The sequence below is a fragment of the Homo sapiens genome, chromosome 4 (genome assembly GCF_000001405.40).
Source record: "Homo sapiens chromosome 4, GRCh38.p14 Primary Assembly".
Classification (NCBI taxonomy): Eukaryota; Metazoa; Chordata; class Mammalia; order Primates; family Hominidae; genus Homo; species Homo sapiens.
In genome coordinates, this window is record NC_000004.12 from 143,199,095 (window position 1) to 143,224,276 (window position 25,182).

General features: G+C 33.8%; 1 protein-coding gene across 4 annotated transcripts in view; it reads left to right on the forward strand.

Moving 5' to 3' along the window:
* USP38 (ubiquitin specific peptidase 38) overlaps positions 1 to 24,780 on the forward strand; it is a 38,958-nt gene extending 14,178 nt beyond the window's left edge. For 2 of the 4 annotated variants that reach the window (NM_032557.6, NM_001410848.1), the window contains 6 exons: positions 4,314 to 4,472; positions 6,939 to 7,132; positions 10,470 to 10,563; positions 13,224 to 13,330; positions 14,487 to 15,849; positions 21,201 to 24,780. In NM_032557.6, coding sequence (NP_115946.2) covers positions 4,314 to 4,472; positions 6,939 to 7,132; positions 10,470 to 10,563; positions 13,224 to 13,330; positions 14,487 to 15,849; positions 21,201 to 21,362 — 2,079 coding nt within the window. In that variant the 3' untranslated portion in view covers positions 21,363 to 24,780. Of the gene's footprint in view, positions 1 to 4,313; positions 4,473 to 5,322; positions 5,439 to 6,938; positions 7,133 to 10,469; positions 10,564 to 13,223; positions 13,331 to 14,486; positions 16,472 to 21,200 lie in introns of those variants that run through there. The other 2 variants (NM_001290326.1, NM_001290325.1) reach the window with 2 other exon arrangements.
* Positions 24,781 to 25,182: the final 402 nt, after the last annotated feature.

A 25,182-nucleotide genomic window follows, 5' to 3' on the forward strand; every position in this document is an offset into this window, starting at 1 on the left:
CAGTACCCAATAGTTATCTTTTCTGCTCCTCTACCTCCTCCCACTCTCCCCGCTCAAGTAGACCTCAGTGTCTATTGTCCCCTTTTTTGTGTTCATGAGTTCTCACCATTTAGCTCCCGCTTATAAGTGAAAACATGGGGTATTTGGTTTTCTGTTGCTGGGTTAGTTTGCTAAGGATAATAATAGCCTCGCCCTCCATCCGTGTTCCCGCAGAAGACATGATCTTATTATTATGGCTGCATAGTATTCCATGGTGTATATGTACCACATTTTCTTTATCCAATCTGTCACTGATGGGCATTTAGATTGATTCCATTTCTTTGCTATTGTGAATAATGCTACAGTGAACATTCATGTGCATGTATCTTTATGGTAGAATGATTTATATTCCTCTTGGTGTATACCCCATAATAGGATTGCTGGGTCAAATGCCAGTGCTGCTGTTAGCTCTTTGAAGAATCACCATACTGCTTTCCACAATGGTTGAACGAATTTATACTCCCACCAAGTGTATAAGTGTTCCCCTTTTTTTGAACCTCACCAGCATGTCTTCTTTTTTGACTTTTTAATGATAGCCATTCTGACTGGTATGAGATGGTAGTTCATTGTGGTTTTGATTTGCATTTCTCTGCTGATCAGTAATACTGAGCTTTTTTTCTTAAGCTTGTTGGCTGCATATATGTCTTCTTTTGAAAAGCGTCTGTTCATGTCCTTTGCCTGCTTTTTAATAGGGTTTTCTCTTGTAAATTTGTTTAAGTTCCTTATAGAGGCTGGATATTAGACCTTTGTCAGATGCATAGTTTATAAGTATTTTCTCCCATTCCGTAGGTTGTCTGTTTACTCTGTTGATAGTTTCTTTTGCTGTGCAGAAGCTCTTAAGTTTAATTAGATCCCGTTTGTCAATTTTTGCTTTTGTAGCAATTGCTTTTGGTGTCTTTGTCATGAAATCTTTGTGTCCAGGATGGTATTGCCTAGGTTGTCTTCCAGGGTTTTTAAAGTTTGGGGTTTTACATTTAAGTCTTATCCTTGATGTAATGAACATCGATACAAAAATCCTCAACTTGCAAAGCAAATCCAGCAGCACTTCAAAAAGCTAATCCATCATGATCAAGTAGGCTTCATCTGTGGGATGCAAGGTTAGTTTAGCATACACAAATAAATCACATAAACAGAAATAAAGACATAAACTACATGGTTATATCAATGGATGCAGAAAAAGCTTTCAATAAATTCAACATCCCTTCATGTTAAATACTCTCAATAAACTAGGTATTAGAGGAACATGTCTGAAAATAATAAGAGGCATCTGTGACAAACCCACAACCAACATTATACTCAATGGGCAAAAGCTAGAAGCATTCCCCTTGAAAACCAGCACAAGACAAGGATGTCCTCTCTCACCACTCCTAATCAATATAGTACTGGAAGTCCTAGCCAGAGCAGTCAGGCAAGAGAAGGCAATAGGTGACATCCATATAGGAAGAGAAGAAGTGAAACTATTTGTAGATTATATGTTTCTGTATCTAGAAAACCCCATAGTCTCAGCGCAAAAGCTCCTTCAGCTGATAAACAACTTCAGCAAAGTCTCAGGATAAGAAGTTAATGTAAAAAAATCACTAGCATTCCTATACACCAACAGCAGTCAAGCTAGGAGCCAAATCAGGAAGGCGATCCCATTCACAATTGCCACAAAAAGAATAAAATACCTAGGAATACAGCTAACCAGGGAGGTGAAAGATCTCTACAATGAGAAATACAAAACAGTGCTCAAAGAAATCAAGAAGACACAAACAAATGGAAAAACATCCCATGCTTATGGATAGGAAGAATCAATATCATTAAAATGGCCGTACTGCCCAAAGCAATTTACAGATGCAGTGCTACTTCAATCAAACTACCAATGACATTCTTCACAGAACTAAAAAAACACTATTTTAAAATTTGTGTGGAACCAAAGAAGAACCTGAATAGCCACAGCAATCCTAAGCAAAAAGAACAAAGCTGGAGCCATCACATTACCCAGCTTCAAATTATACTACAGGGCTACAGTAGTATATTAAAACAGCGTGGTACTGGTACAAAAACAGGCACATAGACTAATGGAACAGAATAGACAGCCCACAGACGAAGCTGCACACCTATGACCATCTGATCTTGACAAAGCTGTCAAAACAAGCAATGGGGAAAAGGCTCCCTCTTCAATAAATGGTGCTTTGACAACTGGCTAGCCATATGAAGAAGATTGAAGCTGGACCCCTTCCTTACACCATATACAAAAATCAACTCAAGATGTTTTCCAAATTTCTAGGAAGGAGATTCTCTGACATAACTTTATCATTCATTCTAATGTTTATTGCCCATATTGAGGACATTCCTTAATCTAGTAGTGGGTAATGTGGTAGTTAAATCACCTATAACTCCAAATAACTCAGTAAAGGACTTGGGCTTAGGAGTTGCTAAGTATGAGCAATAATCTGGAATCAGCATCATCATAATTCATCATAAGTTTAGAATATCTTAGGGCAAGCCAAGGTTGATGTTAGAATATGTGGTGTTATGGGTCAGGTTGCTTTTCTTATGCATTTTACCCAGTGGAATAAATTTATTTTAAACAGACACTATGGCAGATAGGAATAATGGAGAAAGAAAAAAAATCAAAGCTTCTAATTAAATAAGTTTTATACATTTCCTCAAAAACTTTAGTATTATAATAATGTCAAGAAACATTTAGTTTCACTTATTCAAAAAAATCAACTTTCACACATTTAGAAAGTAATAGCCTGCTTGGAAGTATATCTGTATAACTGTGAAAGACTAAGTCTTATTTCCATGTCGTGATAATGTTGACCATTTGAGATATAGTAATAGACAACCATATAACCTGATTACAAAGACCTAATCTAATTTGACAGATTTGGAATTATAAATTTAATAATTACTTCTAAAATTTTTGCCTCTTCTGTCTCCCTTCACCTTTGAGAAAACAAAATAATTTTGGATTTCTGACTTTTAGCAAGAGAATATCTGATAAATGTGGCTTTATGCGACAGAAGTATAATTCATATTTGCTTAGAAATGTAAAGATGATAGCAATAGAATGAACTCACTAGGAACTGGTAGTTTTATGGTCACATTAGTACCTGTGATGGAGGTAAGAAGGTAATGCAAAAGCTACAGTGTGATTTAAGCACAAATGTAAAGCTAGACAGAGCAGAATGGAAATAGCACTGTGTTGTAAGACTATGATTGTTCTTTTTGTGGGAAGGACGGGGAATTAGTGGGTTATTACTATAATTGCTGTTATTGCTGTTTGATGGTACGACCCTAATAGTTATAACTTTTTTACCATGAGTTAGCAACCCCAAAATGTTCTACAAATAGAACAGAAGATACCTTTTACCATAAGAAGTGTAAATATGTAGTATCAGATTATAATTAAAAATTAATTGAAAAAAATATAGTATCATACTAATGGAAAGAGCTATGTCTGTAAAATAGAAGTTGTTTCATTTTAATAACCTCCTAAAGATATGATTGGCTCTGGATTGATGACTTTTTAGTTTAATTTTACAATGAAAGAACATGGTTGTGCTGATGATCAATATTAACAATATTCTATATGTTTATGAGCAATGATCATTTTAGATTTCACTTTTATTTTTAGCCCCAGGTCTTTAAAACTAACAGAAGTTTCTGATGCCCTTTATTTTTAGAACCATCTCATCTTTTGCTGTGAAATGGGATTTGTTAGTAAGAATAGCCACTCTAACATAAGGCATGGTCTCTGTGCTTATCTAAAAGTAATCCCATTACCTGAGCTGCAATTTTAGTTACTCATGTAAAGATTTTCTTGAAGTAGACTTTAATGTGCAATGTACTTTTAATTCTTTCAAGTAAAAAATTTTAGATTCACACTAGATGGAGCTCTTTAGCTAATTCCAGGATTATTTTTCAAAAGTTTATTCCCATTGAATGACCTGGTAAATATAATAACCCTAACAATTTCAACCTACAGCATTTTTCAGAATGGTGGCAATGACTAAGATTCCTATTTTATACCTTAGTTTATGTTTTAGATGGTGTGTAAGGATGAGGAGAGGGGTCATATATGAGATTACAGTCATATGCGACTTCGAAAACTAGATTTACCTTGATATTTTAGAAATGTTTAACTTAATAACAAGAAAAACTCTGTGACTGCACATACAGAAAAGTATCTGCTGATCATATATCGTTTGTGTTCTGTTTGTAGGCTAGAGAATGTGTTACCAATTTGTATAAATTCAGCATTGTTTATCCTTTTTTCTTTTCAGATTGTTCCTCATGTGGTTAATTTGGTTCATTCTTTCAAAAATGATGGTCTGCCTTCAAGTACAGCCTTCTTAGTACAATTAACAGAATTGATACACTGTATGATGTATCATTATTCTGGATTTCCAGATCTCTATGAACCTATTCTGGAGGCAATAAAGGTATGATGATAGTTGTACCAATATTTGTGGAGTTGTGTTATATTAATAAGGTGAAACATTCTTATAACCAGCTACTCAATTTACTATTTTATGGTAATATGCTTTTTATTTGAAAAATGCAGTTAGAATCAGGTTTCATTTAGGGAGTAACAGCTTTCTTGCTGGAGTCACCATTCTAAATTAATAACCATATTTCTTTATTTCTGCAGTGTCATCAATTATAAGGCATATCTTTAAATTTATAATAGCTTTTTGGGAAATTTGTTTAAAAAGAAATGCTACGTTAAGTTAATGCATACATCAGATTTGCACCCCAATATTAGAAGTGTTAAAGTATATGTAGAGTACATCTTAGAATACAGGAAATGGAGTTTAATAAAATATTTGACTTTGATTTCTTCCCCTTTTTAATCTTTTTTTTTTTTTTCTTCTTGAGACCAAGTCTCGCTCTGTCACCTAGGCTGGAGTGCAGTGGTACCATTTCTGCTCACTGCAACCTTCACCTCCTGGATTCAAGCGATTCTTCCGCCTCAGCCTCCTGAATAGCTGGGACTACAGGCACCTGCCACCATGCCCGGCTAATTTGTATTTTTAGTAGAGACAGGGTTTTACCATGTTGGCCAGGCTGGTCTGAAACTCCTGACCTCAAGTAATCTGCCTGCCTTGGCCTTCCAAAGTCCTGGGATTACAGGCGTGAGCCACTGCACCTGGCCTCTTTTTTAATTCTATTTTTGCTGTGGACTGTTCATCAATGTTTCGAATCTTTACTTGAATTATTTGTGGAGTTATACTGTGTTTCAATTTTATATGGAAATGGTTCTAAAAAGCACTTTTTTTTTTTTTTGGACAGTCTTGCTCTGTTGCCCAGGCTGAAGTGCAATGGCATGATCACGGCTCACTGCAGCCTCTACATCTTGAGCTCAAGTGACCCTCCTGCCTCAGCCTCCCAAGTAGCTGGGACTCCAGGTGCACACCACCACGCCAGGCTAACTTTTTATTTTTTGTAGAGTCGGGGCCTCACTATGTTGCTCAGGCTGGTCTTGAATTCCTAGGCTCAAGTGATCCTCATCCTCCCAAAGTGCTGGGATTACAGGCATGAGCCACTGTGCCTAGCCTAAAAAGCACTTCTGTTTGTGTTGAAGACTGGATCACAATAAACATACTTTCCTCTCAGTAAACTTACTGCATAATCAGTGTATAGCAAAAGAATAGGAGAACTGAACTCAGCCAAACTCAATCAGAAATTATTAGAAATCAATTCTATTGATGGTTTTTTTGAGATCTGAATTTCAACATAAAGGTCTTATTATCTTTACTTCTGTATCTGAGGTGGATTAAAAACAGTTCTTTTTACTGTATCATTAACTAAATCAAACTTATTTTGGTTGAGCTCAGAACACAAAGACTGTTAAGCAATTAATGTATATTGCTGGGGTGACACTTTGACACTTCAGAAGTAGATTATGTTCAGGAGCATTGTGAAGTGGATTTGATGGTAATATTAATCTCTTTCTACATTGTCCCTGGATCCATAGATGATAGTTGCTGCACTTGTTAATTGATTGCCATTGTTTAGTTCATCAGAGTTTTTCATGTTGAAAATTCTGATAACTCATATAGGCTCAGAAGAAACAATGGGCTCGCTCTAAGCCCAAAGAAAGCACTTTTTCTTAGCTGTCAACAACAACAAAAATGAGAAGATTGAAACTCCTTCAGAAAATGTTTGTTTGTTAAGGTCTAAGTGCCAGATGCTAATAGCAATCCAGATAAGCCCTAATGATTTTACCAACTTCCCTTACTCTCCAGTGCTCTATTCATGCTTGAAATAATTTACACTTGAAATGTTATCTCATACTTCACAAAGTTGATAAGAAAAATCCATATGTTGTAATAATTTTCTATATGGGTAACATGAGATTAAGTTTTATTTTTCTTAAAGGTCATTGTGCATAGATGCTTTCATTTCTCATTTCTTAATTACTTTGGGATTTTATTTCTAAGGGTTAATACTGAGTAAATATTAGTATTTAATGAAAAGGAGACATTTTTATTACAAAATTTGAAAACAAATTGTTTACTTATGTTTAACTGTGTGCTAAAATTTAAGTCTTCATTCTACTGCCTTTGAATAGCACTGCAGTGTATTCTCTGACCCCAAAGTTTTATTTTATAAACATTTTGCTGGCATATAGAGAACATAAAGAGTTCAAATGTGACTTGAATTTCCAGCTTTTGAGTATTCCTTAACTTGATAAAATCTGTTATTAGACAATATTTATTTTTGCCATACAGTGAAATTTGATATTTTCATGACTAGCCAAGTACTGCCAGTTACTTCAAAACTAAGTGGGGGAAAAGAAAGTTCAAATGTCGGTGTAAGAATCTTCTTAATGGTGTTAATTAATTTAACAACAAAAATAATTTTTACTTTACTTTTAAACTGTTTTTCTTCTTTATGACCTATAGGATTTTCCTAAGCCCAGTGAAGAGAAGATTAAGTTAATTCTCAATCAAAGTGCCTGGACTTCTCAATCCAATTCTTTGGCGTCTTGCTTGTCTAGACTTTCTGGAAAATCTGAAACTGGGAAAACTGGTCTTATTAACCTAGGAAATACATGTTATATGAACAGTGTTATACAAGCCTTGTTTATGGCCACAGAGTAAGTTTAAACTTGAATCTTTTCATTTTAACTGTAGAAGTTGATGCATGCTGATGAAATATAAGATGATAGAATTGTCTACACATTATTCCTTATAAATGGCATAAATGTTAACTTTGATTGCCTTATTCAGAAATGAAACTGCTTTTAGTGCTCAGAAACTATGAAAATGTTAACATTAGGCTGGGTGTGGTGGCTCACGCCTGTAATCCCAGCACTTTGGGAGGCCAAGACGGGTGGATAGCTTGAGGTCAGGAGTTTGAGAGCAGCCTGGCCGTCATGGCAAAATCCCATCACTACTAAAAATACCAAAATTAGCCAGGCGTGGTGGTGGGCACCTGTAATCCCAGCTACTCGGGAGGCTGAGGCAGGAGAATCACTTGAACCCAGGAGGCAGAGGTTGCAGTGAGCCAAGATCGTGCTGTTGCACTCCAGCCTGGGTTACAGAGTGAGAGTCAGTCTCAAAAAAAGAAAAGTTAACATTAATTCTGCTTATTATTCATTGCATTTAAATGCCACTTTAAAGAAATTACTATTCCAAAGAGTTTAAGTGTGCTAGAGTACTTCATTGTTGTTATCCTGTGAGACTGTAATTTTTTTTAACCTATACGTGTTTTGAGGGAAGTTATATATAATTTTATCTGCCGGTCAGTATTTTGGTATTTGTCAGATCAACAACTTTGTTGCTGTTTGAGAAGTTTAAGTTCTGCTCCACCCCAGGGCAATAATTACTGAACACATGTATAAACAGACATGTTCCTTTCCCCTCTTAAGAATTTTCTTTCAAATCCATTTTCTTTTGCACCTAAGCAAATAGGAAATCAGAAGTTGTTAGTTATGTGAATGCTATCTGCAAAGGTACAAAATAACGATAAACTTTTCCTGAAGACAAAAACATGATTGAATTTTTCTCCTGATTACCAATAAGCTATTCATGGAACTTGCCCAAAGAGGTTTACAAATTAAGTTCTAAGCTTTTCCAAGTTGTTATGCCTGCCCAGAGGAATCATAAACTATGAAATGTCGAATTTGGTTGGGTGCCGTGGCTTGCGCCTGTAATCCCAGCACTTTGGGAGGGTGAGGCAGGTGGATCATGAGGTCAGGAATTTGAGACCAGCCTGACCAACATGGTGAAACCCCGTCTCTACTAAAAATACAAAAATTAGCCAGGCATGGTGATGTGTGCCTGTAATCCCAACTATTCAGGAGGCTGAGGCAGGAGAATCACTTGAACCCAGGAGGCGGAGGTTGCAGTGAGCCAAGATTGTGCCACTGCACTCCAGCCTGGGCAACACAGTGAGACTCCATCTAAAAAAGAAAGAAAGAGAGAGAGAGAAGAATTTGCTTTATTTTATTGTTGGGCTCCAGATTATAATATCAGCACTCAGGTGTTTTTGGTTTCATTTAGCATTTAATTTTTTGGTTTGTTTGTATTTGGAATTTTTTTTTTTTTTAGAGAGCAGCTATATCTTTAGACACAAGTGATACTAGGCATAAGACTGAAAGAATCCCCATCTTACCACCAGAGGTCATCTAGTCCAGACATCTCCTTTTACAGATGACAGAGAAAACAAAAAACCAAAGCAGTTATAACGGCAAGAGCAAATAAAAGGTTATCTCTTATTGAACAGTGGCCAATAATATTATCTCTGAATGGGAAGACAGCATATTTTATTTCTTAAGTAATATATGAATTCTTCTTCATAGTTTAAAAATAAATTTTATATAGAATAAAAAGCAGACATTCCCATTTCCAAAGGTAATTTGTTAACAGTTACGTTGTTCCAGACCTTTTTTGGTACAGTTGCATGTTTGTATTTAATATGAAAACAAATGCATTTTTTAAAGAAAATTTGCAGAGAATCCTATTTATATATTCTTTTCCAGCCACTTGCTTTTATCATTTAATAATTTGTATTCGAAATATTCCCATATTGGGGCAATACAGATCCGTGTCATTCCCAGTAAATGTGTATGCCATCATTTATTTATTAAATACTCATTTAATTTAATGAGATTTAATAAATAAGTTAAATTAGTATTTAATAAATACTTCTTTATTTAATAATGCTCCTATTGATGAATATTAGGTTGTTTTGCTTATAATTAACATCTCTCTGCCCTTATACAGATACAGAGGATTTTTCTTTGAATATTTTCCATATCTTTGAATATCCTTTGAATATCTTTCAAATTGCTCTCCAAAAAAGCTGTAGCATTTTGAACTCTGATACCAATATAAGATTGTACCTAGAACCTGTACCTTTAGCAACAAATCAGCCTTTTTAATTTTTTGCCAATATGAAGAAAAATGTCTCTTAATTTGCATATTGCTGCTAATTATAGAGTTTTTCCCTCTCTTATTTTTCTTTATTCATTTGTGTTTCTCTTCCAAATAACCTGTTCTTTTCTTTGTACATCTTTTTGTTGGGTCTTTTTTGTTTTCATGTTGCTTTATATATACTCTGGATAATCATCCTTTGCTACATGCTTTTTTCAAGGCACAATTCAAATTTGTGGGGTGTTTTATTTATAATTTTTTAATTTTATGTATTCCAGTCTTCCACTTTTCATTTGTAGCATCTGGACTTTTAAAAGCCTTTACCCTCTAAATTTCTTGTTTCTTTATTTTAAGTACTTCAGTAGTTTTGTATTTTATATCTAGCTCATTAGTCCTGTGGTATCTGTATTGGTGTATAATCTTATGTAACTTCATTTTTTACCGGATGGATACCCAGCTGTCCCTTTACTTTTTTTTTTTTTTTGAGTAGTTTATCCTTTTCCCACGCTCTATTCTTTAAATGACTTTAATTTTATAGTGTGTTTTAATGACAGCATATTTTTTTATTTCATGAAGATTTGAAAGAATTTAAGTTTACTTATCTTATAAATTAATGGCTTAACCTATTTGTATTTGCTAATCCAGAAAATAGAAATAATATGTGATAGCACATAGTCCATTAACAGGCTTTATAGTAAATGTTAATTTATTGTCATTCTTCCCTTCCTTCTTTACTGTTAGATAGATAACTTCCTTAGGAAAAGGACCATTAGGTAAATGAAGTTTTACTTTAAGGATAATAAATTCTTGAACTAACTTGCTTTTAGCTTTTAAGAAATGCTTTTAAATGGCCAGGCACAGTGGCTTATGCCTGTAATTCCAGCACTTTGGGAGGCCGAGGTGGGTGGATCATTTGAGGTTTCGGTGAGCTGAGATTGTGCCACTGCCCTCCAGCCTGGGCAACAAAAGGAAACTCTGTCTCAAAAAAAAAAAAAGCTTTTAATAAATGCATGTGTTTGTACGCACATATATATAAATCATTATATTCTCTTTCAGTTTCAGGAGACAAGTATTATCTTTAAATCTAAATGGGTGCAATTCATTAATGAAAAAATTACAGCATCTTTTTGCCTTTCTGGCCCATACACAGGTGAGTGTGTATGTGTATATAGTACGTTTATGTTAACTGCGTGGTAATATTCATTAAACTTTACCTTATACCTAACCTTTTTAACTGATGAAATAATATAATAGATATCTCACCCAGTATAACAAATCCACTTAGAAATGCTAAAGAGATCCTGCCTAAAATATCTAGATTTTTTTTATTTTCAGGATATGCCCTAAGTTTTTATATTTTTCTCTTGCTTCCCATTATTGTAGCTGAATATTACGCTGACCCATTGATCTAGAAATTTTTACAAAGAAAATATGATTTCCTATCCAATAAATAAGTTCCTTCATGAAGAATTATTTTTAAGTGCATCTTTGTTTCCTGATATTAAATTAGTAGATTTGTACAATAATGAGCAAATAAAATAATATTGTGGTGCCTGGGCTTTTTTCTCTTTTCTTATGTATACCTATTCATTATAACTAAAGATCTCTGCAGTTCTGTTTATCTGTTAAGTTCTAGAGCTTAAAATTTCGTGGTGATCTTTTATGTCCACACATTAATCCGGGGTCATTAATTTATGTTAATGGCACCAAGGTGGTCATATATAGTAAATATTCACTCAACAGACATTTATTAAGAGACGCTATATGCAGTCAGTGATAAGCATTAAAAGAAGAGTCTTGGCCAGGCGCAGTGGCTCACGCCTGTAATCCTAACACTTGGAGGCCAAGGCAGGCAGATTACTTGAGGTCAGGAGTTTGAGACCAGCCTGGCCAACATTGTGAAACCCCATCTCTACTAAAAATACAAAAATTAGCCAGGCATGGTGGCACACGCCTGTAATCCCAGCTACTCAGGAGGCTGAGATAGGAGAATTGCTTGAACCCAGGAGGTGGAGCTTGCGGTGAGCCGAGATCGTGCCACTGCACTCCAGCCTAGCTAACAGAGTGAGCCCCTGTCTCAAAAAAAAAAAAGAGTCTTTATGTTCAAAGAACTTTTAGTTTAGATTTTGAGCCTATACACATGAGTAATATATATGTCATTATTTATAATATATATTATTATTTTTCTGGTTTTACTTTCATTGCCTTTATCTCACAGAGGTCTAAAGGAGCAGTAGTTAGGACCAGAAGAAACAATAGGTTGAGAATTGATGGGGTTCAGTTGATGGGAATGCTTTTGTTTTCTTTCTACAAGCTGAGAAATATCTCAAATATAACTTCTTAAATGGAAAGAATCTAGACAGGATTAATATGAGATGATAGTAATGGCCTATGAGTAGTTATATACTCAGATATTTTTATTATTCTTTATCTGGGGAAAGTATGTTCACAAATTAAATTTACCATATCAAGACCAAGGGAAACGAAATGAAAACTATCTCCTTCCTCACTCCCTGTTGTTTCCTAGTAAATTGATTTTTGTGCTTTATCACTAGTATGTATTTATTATATATAAAATATATATGTAGGCAGATATATACTTTATTAACTTACTAAATCAGAGCTATTAGGAAAAAAAATCTTAGGGGAGGTTTCCCTCCTCCTCCCAAGAAAAGTAGAAATTTAAAAGAGCCTGATTAAATTTCTGTCACAGTTGAGACTGTCTCTGGTAGCAGCCTGACAGAGATTATTTTAGGCAGATAGATTTTCCCATATAATTGAAAAGTCCTTTTTTCTTATAATTAATAAAACAACACTTATTGAACAGTTACTTTTTTTTAACCCCTGGTCTAAATCTTTTATGTCTTAATCATCAAAAACAGTCTGTCAGGTAATAAGGTATATCCCCATTTTACAGATGAAGAAAACAGGCTTACATTACCTGTTCAGGGTCATGCAAGCAAGCAGCAGGGTTGAGATATGAACCAAACAGCTCTGAAGCCCATGTTTAATGTAGGCTAAACTTCCTTCCTTCAGAATGCTATAAACACCCTTAATTTGGGTAAAATTTTTCTTAACTGAGAACTTCATTGTTATGAAGTTATGCCACAAATAATCAAAATGTCAAGAGAATTCCAAAGTTTCAACTTACAATCACATCTTCGAGATGCCTTTTCAGTTCTTTTTTGTCATGGCAAAATCTAGGATTTGAACCTGGTTCACTCCAGAGTCCAAAGTTTAATCACTAAGCAGCCTCTATACTTTAAAACAAAAATTAGCAAAGGTTTCTAACCAGTGTACTCACAATCTGCACATATATGACATGTATCTGCTCAAGGAAATTTTTGCCTAAAGTAGGTATGCATGACTCTAGAGTATTTCCTTTATTACTTTGTTCAAAATATATACTAACAAAATATACATTAATCTTTTTTAGATTTGATTTTTCAAAAAATTGTGGACTCAAACATGACTGTCATAGAGGGATGATACCAGGAGCTTTATATCAAGAGTTAGACATGGGTTCTACTTTAATGCCTTGTGCTACTCATTTAGCTGTATGACCCTGGGCAAGTCACCTGTTTCTCTAGCTCTCAATTCTCCTCTGCAGAGTGAGAAGTTATGACTAAAGATTACCTAACTTTATTTCTAAATAATTTTATCTGTCCCTAAGTTGCCACGTCCGGCACTTTTGGCTGATGCAATGTTAACTGTAAATAACCTTTATTAAACACTGTATATTAAGATTTCAGTTACTTGGTTCATGCTATAAGAATCACTTCCTTATATTTTCTCAATTGCTCTCAAAAGAGGGAAGCATACGCACCTCGGATATTCTTTGAGGCTTCCAGACCTCCATGGTTTACTCCCAGATCACAGCAAGACTGTTCTGAATACCTCAGATTTCTCCTTGACAGGTAAAAAGTATTCTTAAAATTGTGATTTGAGTGTTGTCTTTCATAACAGTTTAATTCTACTTAATATTGCTTTTACCTTTAAAAACATATTTCAAATATTACTCTTTAAAATACTATTGCATTTCTTGTATGTTTTTTATATTTTCTTTTGTTTTTAATTTATTTTCCTTTTTGAATTTTCTTCCTTGAGACCAGCTGTTCTCAAAGTGTGAAACAAGGACCCCTGCGGGTTCCCAAAACACTTTCAGGAGTCTGTGAGGTCTTCTCTTTTCCAACAGCGTAACTGTGTGAGGCCAGATTTTCTTTATATGCTTCATCCAAAAAACATATAACAATAGAATGCAGAGAAGATATGAGGCTCCAGCTGTCTTCTGTTAAGCCAGATACTTAAAATATTTGCAAAATGTAAAACACTGCCATTCTTACTTTTTTTTGGTTTTAGAAAATACAACTTTTTCATTTTTAAAATGTTACTAATATTAAATAATGGGTTTATTATTGTTTGCTAAATGTTAATATTTTATTTTCTCAGTTCTGACAGTAAATATCAATAAATACAACCCATGTAAAGGAAAGCTCTTTGTTTTTTAATTATTTTTAAGAGTATAAAGGGGTCCTGGCACCAAAAAATTTAAGAACCACTCCTTTAGACCAGTTCATAATTGTATGGGTTTGGTATGTTTTATTGTCGCCTGACCACTTAATTAATAAAACCTGTTATCATCTGTATCTCCCTGTCTTTGTTCTGCTCTGTGGAATGACTAGTAAAGTTAGTTGGGCTTGGTATGTGCAGCCTTCCTTCCATTCAGCTAAGAATCTATTCAGTAGTTTATTTGTGCCTGACTTTCTATGAGATGTCAGGAAGACAGAGATATATAAGACAGTTAAGGGACGTTTATAATTAACTGCAATGTAATACATGCTATTAAGTAGCAGTATGAAGAAAGTGTAATGAGAATATAGAGTAGTAATAGCCACCCAGCTTTTTTTCTGCATTCTCAAAACTGTTCAATTTTCTTTTAATTAAAACAGGAAAAACCTGATTTGTTTACATTAAATTTGATTAGAATAGTTTATAGAAGCCACTAATATTTTTAAATAGAAATGACATTTGAAGTTAATTTAAGTAGCTATATAATGATATCCTCTGCTGCAGGCTCCATGAAGAAGAAAAGATCTTGAAAGTTCAGGCCTCACACAAGCCTTCTGAAATTCTGGAATGCAGTGAAACTTCTTTACAGGAAGTAGCTAGTAAAGCAGCAGTACTAACAGAGACCCCTCGTACAAGTGACGGTGAGAAGACTTTAATAGAAAAAATGTTTGGAGGAAAACTACGAACTCACATACGTTGTTTGAACTGCAGGAGTACCTCACAAAAAGTGGAAGCCTTTACAGATCTTTCGCTTGCCTTTTGTCCTTCCTCTTCTTTGGAAAACATGTCTGTCCAAGATCCAGCATCATCACCCAGTATACAAGATGGTGGTCTAATGCAAGCCTCTGTACCCGGTCCTTCAGAAGAACCAGTAGTTTATAATCCAACAACAGCTGCCTTCATCTGTGACTCACTTGTGAATGAAAAAACCATAGGCAGTCCTCCTAATGAGTTTTACTGTTCTGAAAACACTTCTGTCCCTAACGAATCTAACAAGATTCTTGTTAATAAAGATGTACCTCAGAAACCAGGAGGTGAAACCACACCTTCAGTAACTGACTTACTAAATTATTTTTTGGCTCCAGAGATTCTTACTGGTGATAACCAATATTATTGTGAAAACTGTGCCTCTCTGCAAAATGCTGAGAAAACTATGCAAATCACGGAGGAACCTGAATACCTTATTCTTACTCTCCTGAGATTTTCATATGATCAGAAGTATCATGTGAGAAGGAAAATTTTAGACAATGTATCACTGCCACTGGTTTTGGAGTTGCCAGTTAAAAGAATTACTTCTTTCTCTTCATTGTCAGAAAGTTGGTCTGTAGATGTTGACTTCACTGATCTTAGTGAGAACCTTGCTAAAAAATTAAAGCCTTCAGGGACTGATGAAGCTTCCTGCACAAAATTGGTGCCCTATCTATTAAGTTCCGTTGTGGTTCACTCTGGTATATCCTCTGAAAGTGGGCATTACTATTCTTATGCCAGGAATATCACAAGTACAGACTCTTCATATCAGATGTACCACCAGTCTGAGGCTCTGGCATTAGCATCCTCCCAGAGTCATTTACTAGGGAGAGATAGTCCCAGTGCAGTTTTTGAACAGGATTTGGAAAATAAGGAAATGTCAAAAGAATGGTTTTTATTTAATGACAGTAGAGTGACATTTACTTCATTTCAGTCAGTCCAGAAAATTACGAGCAGGTTTCCAAAGGACACAGCTTATGTGCTTTTGTATAAAAAACAGCATAGTACTAATGGTTTAAGTGGTAATAACCCAACCAGTGGACTCTGGATAAATGGAGACCCACCTCTACAGAAAGAACTTATGGATGCTATAACAAAAGACAATAAACTATATTTACAGGTAAGTTGGAAATACAAGCTTTATTTGTTGAAAATATTAAACAATTGACACAGTTAAATGAGTACCCTCATTTTGAAATCTAACATGAGTTTTTATTAAATTCTGAAATATAGGTCTGGATTTACATGAAGTATTCTCAACCTGTATAACTAAATTGCCTTTCTAATATTGTGACAATTTAAATGAAAAGTGGCAATTAGATGTAATGCAGAAGACTTTATTTGTTCCTTACAAAAGATGGCTCATTCTGAAATCATGCCATACAAAATACAGAAAGTTTACAAAAGTGGACATATCCTCCCTCTTCCTCTCAGCCTCACCCACCAGAGGAAATAACTGCTAAATGTGGTATTTATGCCCTCAAGACTTTTGTGTAAATGTTTTAAGGGCTGTTTATTGATATTTAGGTGGATAAGATTAAAAAACACTAAAATGTAGACTATGTAAAGAAAGGATATTCATATTCTTTGAGGATGTGGTTAGTAAAACCAAGGAGATAATAGAACAATTGTAAATCGAAGCCAAGGAATGGTTTTATATGAGATAAATTTATTCATAAATATACTTTTTTCAAGGAGTTAGTGATTTTATTACTTAAATAAAGGCTAATAAAAAGTTAAAATTCTTGCTGAAAGTATTTTTTTTTTGTTTTTGAAACTTGCTAATTTGTTCTCAACATACAGGGCTAGCAGTAAATTACAGGTGAAATTCTAGGTACATTAATTGGGTAGTCTAAGTGATTTTGAGTTTGAATGAGTACATTTTGAAAATTCTGTGTTTGAAAGTCACTCCTGAAAGATACAGATAGAATAAGAAATGAGCCACTATAGTACTGATTTTTAGAGGGAAATTTTCTCAAAAGCTTTCAAATTTACTGCGTTATAAAATACACATTTTTAAAGAAGTATAGCGATGTTCTTGAGTGACAAAAACAATAAACTTTACAGAAAAAAATAGAAAATCAGAATATTTGTTTGAACTGATTAACTACTGAAGACTCTAACATCTAGTCAGATGGCTTATGATCAACATGCTAGAAATAGAATGTATTCAACTGTGTCCTTCTTACTAGATATCATATAAACACTAGTCAGAGGAGAAATATGGGTTTTGAAAGATAAAAAACTACTCTCATTTCTGTGATTAGAATCCCAAATGCTTGTATAGCCATAGCAACCACTTGTTTGTAGCTTAGCTCCAAGTGATTTTCCAGTTTATCTTGCCTTTTACCCCATTACTTTCTGATTATACAATATTTGAGCATGAGGAGCTGTTCTTTTCATTATTATTTTAAGACTCGTATGTTACTTTATTATAAAGAAAAAGCATTATGTATTTTGTTAATTCAGTTTTTCAGTTTTGTGCAGTTGTTCTAGATTCAATCTTAAGTTTCATATTGACAAGTTGTTTGATGCAAGAAAAGATACCACCAAATTTTATATTAAGGTATTTACCTGTATTAAGACTAGGTAGTAAATCAAAGTTTCATTATCAGAGTACCCTTTTAAAGCAAAAATACAATAATAAATATTCAATTTTTTTTTTTTTTGAGACTGTCTCATTCTGTCACCCAGGCTGAAGTGCAGTGCCGTGATCATGGTTTATTGTAGCTTTGAACTCCTGGGCTTAAGTGATCCTCCTGCCTCAGCCTCCTGAGTAGCTAAGGACTACAGGCATGTGTCACCATGCCTGGCTAATTTTTTAAAAAAAATTTTTTAAAGATTGTCTTGCTATTTTACCCAGGCTAGTCTCAAACTCCTGGGCTCAAGCAATCCTCCCTCCTCGGCCTCCCAAAGTGCTGGGCCACTGCATGTGGCCCAATAATCAACTCAATTAGGAACTTATATTTAGATTGTGATTATTTACATTTATTTATTTATTTATTGACACAGAGTCTCGCTCTGTCACCCAGGCTGGAGTGCAGTGGTGTGATCTCGGCTCACTGTAACCTCCACTCCTGGGTTCAAGCAAATCTCAGGTCTCGGATAACCAAGTAGCTGGGATTACAGGCATACGCCAACGTGCCTGGTAAATTTTTTTGTATTTTTAGTAGAGACAGAGTTTCACCATGTTGGCCAGGCTGGTCTCAAATTCCTGGCCTCAAGTGATCTGCCCACCTTGGCCTCCCAAAGTGCTAGGATTACAGGCATGAGCCACTGTGCCCAGCCTGTTTACTTTTAAATACAGTGATTAATAAAGGCTCAAATTGTGAAATTTTTCATACCATTTAATCAGATCATTCTGGTATTTTAAGTACATGTTAAAAGACTACGTTCTTTATTCTGTTATGTGGATGCACATGTGCTCATAATTGCCAGGCAATAGAAAACTATAGCGTTGAGATTATGTATACAGCAGTTTTCAGCTATCACTTCTTAAACACCTGGAGCATGTACATGTGTGTTTTCATTCTATCATTTTTGTTTTTATATCCATTTTTGAGATATAATTATTATAAATATATGTCATGCTTTATAATAGATTACTATGTCTGGACTATAAGAAATAGCATAATACCTTTTTATAAAACAGCTATAAAAACTTAAATCGTAAAAGTAAGGATGTGAAGTGAACATTTTGAGTTCCTCTGCTCTTGAACAATATTGCTAATGAATTTACCATTTTAGTACATATCAGGGTAGCTGCTTTCATTTTAATACTTCATAATCAGATTAGAAACTCACCTTGTGATAATTTTAAGAAGCTTTTTTTAGGATTTCATTTTTACATTTTAGGATTTCATTTTTCAATTTTAAATCTAGCCACAACCAGATTTACAAGTGTTAGAAAATGTTGCTCTTTTGAGTATTGGCAAGATCCGTGGTTTTGAAAAACCCAGGCAAAAAATCTTTTGTGACAAACCATTCTCTACTCTGTGTATCATAGCCTGACATTTGGGAAAACAATGCAAATTGTGGATCTCGAAGTAAATTTTTGAAAGGACTTTTCTCTTCATATATTTATTTCCCCTTCATATATTTCTTTCCCTTCAGTCCAGCTTCCATTAGGAGTATCTCCATTGTTTTAATGTCTGGAATATAAAAACTAAGCCTTTGGTTAGGATACAGTGAGAGATTGTGTAATGCATCATCATTGTATGGTCCAGATTACCCACCCATCTGTCGTGCATCAGCCACAGACCACTTCCCATCTTTTCTTGCTTGGTTTCTTTCCTTTGTTTCTTTGGAGGAGGCAGTAGTTCTTCTTAACTTCTTAATTATTTTCTTTTTCATACATTCAGAAGAGTATATTCAATATATATGTGCAGTTTAAAGAAAAATAAAAGGATTAATGTCAACAGTTTTACTTGAATGAGAAATATAAATATACTGAAAATTATTTGTCTCAAGGAGCAATAACTTTCCTGTGACTAGATCTATAGTCTACTACTGAAATTAGAATTAACTTTAGTACTTGATATAAATTTGTGATATAAATTACACATTCTATGATAATCATAATTTTGACATTGTACACAATGTTCTTACCTGTATTAAGTAAAATAAAAGACAGTTTTTCCTATTTTTATGCATTGTCTAAGCTTATCAGAAAACAGAATACCACACATTTTTTTCTGTCAGCCATATATTTCTATAAATAATAAAGCAGAAAAAGTATATTACTTTTTTGGGATGTTGTATATCTTGAAATATAATGTAGGTTTCATGGGTACAGATGCAATGGAGCTACTAATTTTATATTTTATGTCATTCGACATAGTTTCTATAAGGGAATCACTGTATAAAAACGTCTATGCAAGATTTGCCATATCTTTTAGTAGCAGAAGTTCAAGGAGAACTTCTTGAACTCTACCTTACATGTTTGTTCAGTTTTAATTCGTTACAGAACATTGTCTATATATCTGAAACCGTGCATTGTTTCTCAGATACAGAGTCATAGTTTCATCGCTTGTTTGGATAGTTTAATAGGTTATAGAGCTAGAACAATGAGGATCTTTGGTTGGGGGGTTTCTGTCTGTTTCTGATGTTACTTATGGCACTTAATTTCAATCTGTAAAACATTTATAATTCCTACGTTAATTTTATAGATCAAAGGATAAATTAATATATATATCACCTTAAAAATACTCTGTAGGTAGATATTATACCAAAGAGCCAGCAATTTTAAATGTTGTAAATGACACTGTAGATCACAAAAATGTTTTTAAGAAATATCCTGCAAATTAAGTTTTAAAAGTCCTAACAGACTGGTTAGTTAAGCCATTTTGTTACAAGGATTTATCAAAGGTCCCTTTCAGCCATAAAAATAGGTGATTCTTGATCATCTTGTGTACTGGGACTTGAACAGAAGATGCTGCATGCTACTGAAAAATAAAGTATCTATAATATGACAGATAGGTGTCAGGGTATGCCTGGGTCTTTTCTTCATAACGAAAAATTGAGCATTTTGTGAAGAGGGAAGAATAATAAACTAAACCATTTTAGCTAGAAATTATAAAATAGTATTACCTTGCCAGATGGAACAAAATCACTAGGCCTTAAGTTGAAAAATCGAAATAATAGTGTTTTCGTTATTAATGTTAACTGTATTTTGAAAGCTCTTCAGGACGATTATGCTAACAAGTTCAGGTATGCTGTGACCAGTAACTTTTAGACCTTATTTTTACCAACCCCATTTGAAATCTGTAGATCCTCTCCCAGAAAAATAAGCACATGCCAGAATATTTTGCATATTTTTCCAAAGAGTTTGTGGGTCCCAGTTTTAGAATCCAGTTGTATACCTTGCCAAATGAATTTGCCATTATTTATTCATATTTGCTCCCTTTGAAGCTAAGCACCTAATAGTATTCTAATCTGAGATCATTAATATTTATTGAATACCTAACATATGCTTGGCATCTAGATAAATATGACTGATTTCTGATAAAAGTTTTCCTGATAAGGAAACATTTTAGATATTACTGTGAGGAGTTAGGCTTCATTTTACTTGTCAGTGTTCTTTGAGACCTGTTTTATTATTTATTGAGAAATAGTCTATGGAAAGGCCAGAAAAAAATTCAGTCTTCTTCCTTTATTCATACATTTAACTGTAATCACCCACTTCCAAAATAGCCCCAATTGCTGGAGAATAGATAATCTATTGTGATAATCTTTGAATTCTATGTTAAATATATTAGAAAAGAATCTATTCCAGTATGTTTTAGAGAGTGTTGCAGGAACTGTAATATTTTCTTAGAGAAATTTTTTTTTCTTAGGTGCTTTAGTTTCAAAGTTATTGAGATTTGAAGAATGTTTATAAGGATTAAGGTAGTTTTAAAATATTTCTATAGGTGATATAACGATCCATTGTATTTAGCATTTTAATTTCATAAAAGTTATTTTTAATTTTAGGAACAAGAGTTGAATGCTCGAGCCCGGGCCCTCCAAGCTGCATCTGCTTCATGTTCATTTCGGCCCAATGGATTTGATGACAACGACCCACCAGGAAGCTGTGGACCAACTGGTGGAGGGGGTGGAGGAGGATTTAATACAGTTGGCAGACTCGTATTTTGATCCTGAGAGAGTCCAAAATGCACTGGTCACGAAACGTCTAATACTATGACTGTTAAAATGTCAGACTATAACAAATATCTATCTTTTATTTTTCATTAGACCCTTATACTTCAAGAGAACACACTCAGTGCTTGTTTTTATTTTCTTGACACATTTATTAACAAAATGCATCATGGAAAAAAAAATCTACCTCTTAAAATTCCATTTGCTTTTATGGTTAGACATGCTTGACCAAAAATGTTCAGAAGAAAATATGTACCTGGTCCCTAATTAAGCTGCGTTAAATTTGGTAGAAGCATTTAAATGGTCTATCTTCAGTTTTACTGAACAAAAAATGTAATTTATTTAGCATTCTTTATAAAAGAATTGATGCTAGAGGTAAAAAAAAATACTTGTTTTTAAAAAATCCTTTACGTCTTGTGTAATTACCCCATTATTAAATTCAAGTCCTTGAAAATCAACTAGAGATTATAAAGTCTCTAAAGAAGGCAATAACAAAATTTATCAAGATATAGTACTTTTCAGTTTTTGTTTAGTGTCTTCAGCATCACTGTGTCTGTATTTCAAGTACAAATGTTTTTAAAAAGGATTCTTTATACATATGTGCTGAATTGATTTTAAGAAAGTTGCATGATCCTGTAGGAGCAACATTTTTACCTAAAAAATGCTAACTTTATAGTATTTCTAATTGTTCAAGGATTTTAAAATTCTATTTCAGGGAGTATATCTTCTGTGGTTTTGAAGGAGGTGAGTTCTGTATGTGCCTTGCAGTACTGTAATTCAAAAATAGGAATCTTTGGCTGCAAAATTTTAATGAAATGTTAGGAAGTAATTTTCGTGCTAACATTAAAATTATAACTTTTTGAAAGGTAATAGATTTTCCAGAAGTAAAATCTGATGGTTCTAAATCAATCAATGTGATAGTTCATTTTTAACTCTTAGAAGAATTCAGAGGAAATTAACCCAGCTAAGTAAAAAATCTGTCTTGATTTTGTTACTTATTCCTCAGAATATTAAACATTGATCACATATTTTTAGAGTTTTACATTTGGGTTTTTTGTTTGTTTGTTTCAGTCATATGTTTGGCACTGTTGTTTCTATTTTCGTAGTTTTAGATAAAATGTTAAAATGCCAAACCCTACCTTCCTACACTTTTTCTTTTGCCAGGAAACTGGAAACATGTCAGTTCTCCTGGTTCTTGATTATACAGTACTCAAGAGTTATCCCAGTTATCCCCCTTCCTAAAGGTTTTAACTTATCCACAGTTGTGCATTGTTCTGAAGATTGGTCTCATATTTATTTTGAAAACACTTTAAGGAAACAATGTTCTTCGATGATTTGGGGTTTATCTTTTTCCCAAGCTTTTATGACAGTGGTTAAAAAACAGAAATCCTCATGTTTATTCCATTACCTCCCATTCCTAACCTGTTTCCAATCACCAGGAAGATTAGGAAGGCAGATTAGATTAAAAACTGAAAATTCTTTGCAGATTTAATGAAGGTTCTCCTCCTTATAAATGAATGAACCAGTTATCATGCTTTTCTGTGGTTTTCCTATCCCAATAGTGAATTTCTGAGCTATCCTGTGTGTTCAGTTATCCACTTACTTGATAGCAACTTACGACCAGATTATATCAGTCTTGGCATTTATTGAAATTGGTAAAGTGATTTAATACTTGATAGATTGATATTGGGCTAAGATGCTTCTAGGAACTTTCATAAAAGCAATTATACTTGTGCAGCTTTATCTATGAATATCAGGTCTCTCAAGGATTTTATGTATCAAGATAATATGTATTGACTTTTTTAAATGATAAAATGAATTCTAGTTAGAGTCTTTCCTTGGTATCTGCAGTGGATTGGTTCCAGAACACCATCCCCCAATATTAAAATCCACAGATACTCAAGTCCCTTATTTATATAAAATAGCACAGTATTTGCATATAACCTGTGCACATCCTCCCATATACTTTAATCTCCAGATGATTAGATATGATTGCATAGCACTTACGTTGTGCTATGTAGTTGTTATATTGTTTTTTCATTTGTACTATTTTTTATGATATTTATTGGTTTTTTAAATTTTCTATCCAAAGTTGTTTGAATCTAAGGATACAGAGCCTGAGGATATGGAAAGCTGACTAAATATAGTAACACTGAAGAGTATTCAAATGATAACTCATACCAGTACCAAAAACTTGAAGACTTCCTTTTAACATTAAAAATACAGTAACTTTTTACGTGATTTGTTGAATTCAACATATTTGGAACCAGAATAATCAGAAACTTCATTCAAAACCTATGCATCTGAACTTTTTTAGTAAGGTAATACTCAGGACTGTTCTGATTCTAACAGATCCCTGTTAATTACAGATTTATTTGTCATATTAGGTCTTTTCTTTCTCCCATATTCCTAACCCGTGTACTAGCTCCAACTGTTGTGAGGTTTGACTCTGAAGACTGAGTAGAGTACTATTGTTGTTTTTCTTTCCTTAGTCAGAGTAATCAGTTTAAATGAAGTTGCTCATTGCTGCTAAGAAGCATTAGGCTTCACTGCTAGCAAAAATGAAAAACTACAAATCTGAGTCTTTCTTTCAAAGATGTTTATTGACATAATTAAAGTAAAAAATTGTTTAGAGATATGCAAAGAAGGAAATATATATGATGTCACACAAGCTCCAGTAAGCTATCCACTAAGCAGGTGCCTGTGCAACTCTGATTTATGGCATTAACATATCAAATTGAAGGAAGGATTCTAGCTCATTTTCCATTCAAGCATCTTCCCACTGCCTCTCTTCCAGCTAAATAATCAGAGAAGCAGGGCAGTATATCCCTGGAGATCCCTGACTTTTATCTCCATACCTTAAATTGTTGGTAGATCCTTTGGATGTAGAGATAAAAATTCATTATGATGCTAGAGGCATTGGGGGGTCCATGCGAAAGGTTCAAACAGCCTATTACATTAATGCACATGTGGAAAGAACAAAAATTTTCAAGCTAAGTCTTAAGTTCAAATCTATAATTTTTTTCTCTTCAGTTCTGTTCTTTGTATGATAATCCTTAAAAAAGTAGTTGTCTTCTTTTCACATACACCTCTTTAAAGCTATCATCTTATAATAAGTGGAATTGGATGCTTATTGTGTGCCCAGCACAGTTTAGGAAAAAAATAATTGGCACTGTTTGTCCAGTTACTGGAGATCTTCATTTTGATGCTTTGTACTTTGTTCCAGGTCTTTAATTCTCAGTCCATCTTTTCCTATGATTGTGTACTTCACATGATACATTCCATATAAAGAGCTCTTTTAAAATGACTATTTCAAAAATACTGTACATTTATATATAGTATTTTTTCTCATAAAAATGTGATAGTTTATATATCCTTTCATCATACGTTTTTTCTAATGAGTTTAGATTTCTGAAACTAAATATTCCTGAAGTAGAGAAGAGTAAGTTATTCACATTTTACAAAAACATACTAGGAAATGCTAACTGGTTATTATTAGCAACTCAGTAACATCAGAGGAGTAAGGTTAAATCTTAGATAATGCAAACCTGTAACTAAGAAGTGCAACAGTAAGGAAATTTGAATTAAAAGTTGCTATCCCCAAAAAACAAATAATTCTAAAATATAAGCTGTTTCATATGTATATTCTTAAGTTTTATCAAACTGTTATGTATCTTCAGTGTTAGCCTAAGTTAATTTTCTTACAGTCCTTTTTTAGAAGTGAACGAACCTTAAAATGAATGGGGGATTAAAAAAAAACTGCTTTAAAAAACTAGCTTGTTTAAAAAAAAGCTTTCCCATATGAAGAAATTTGTAT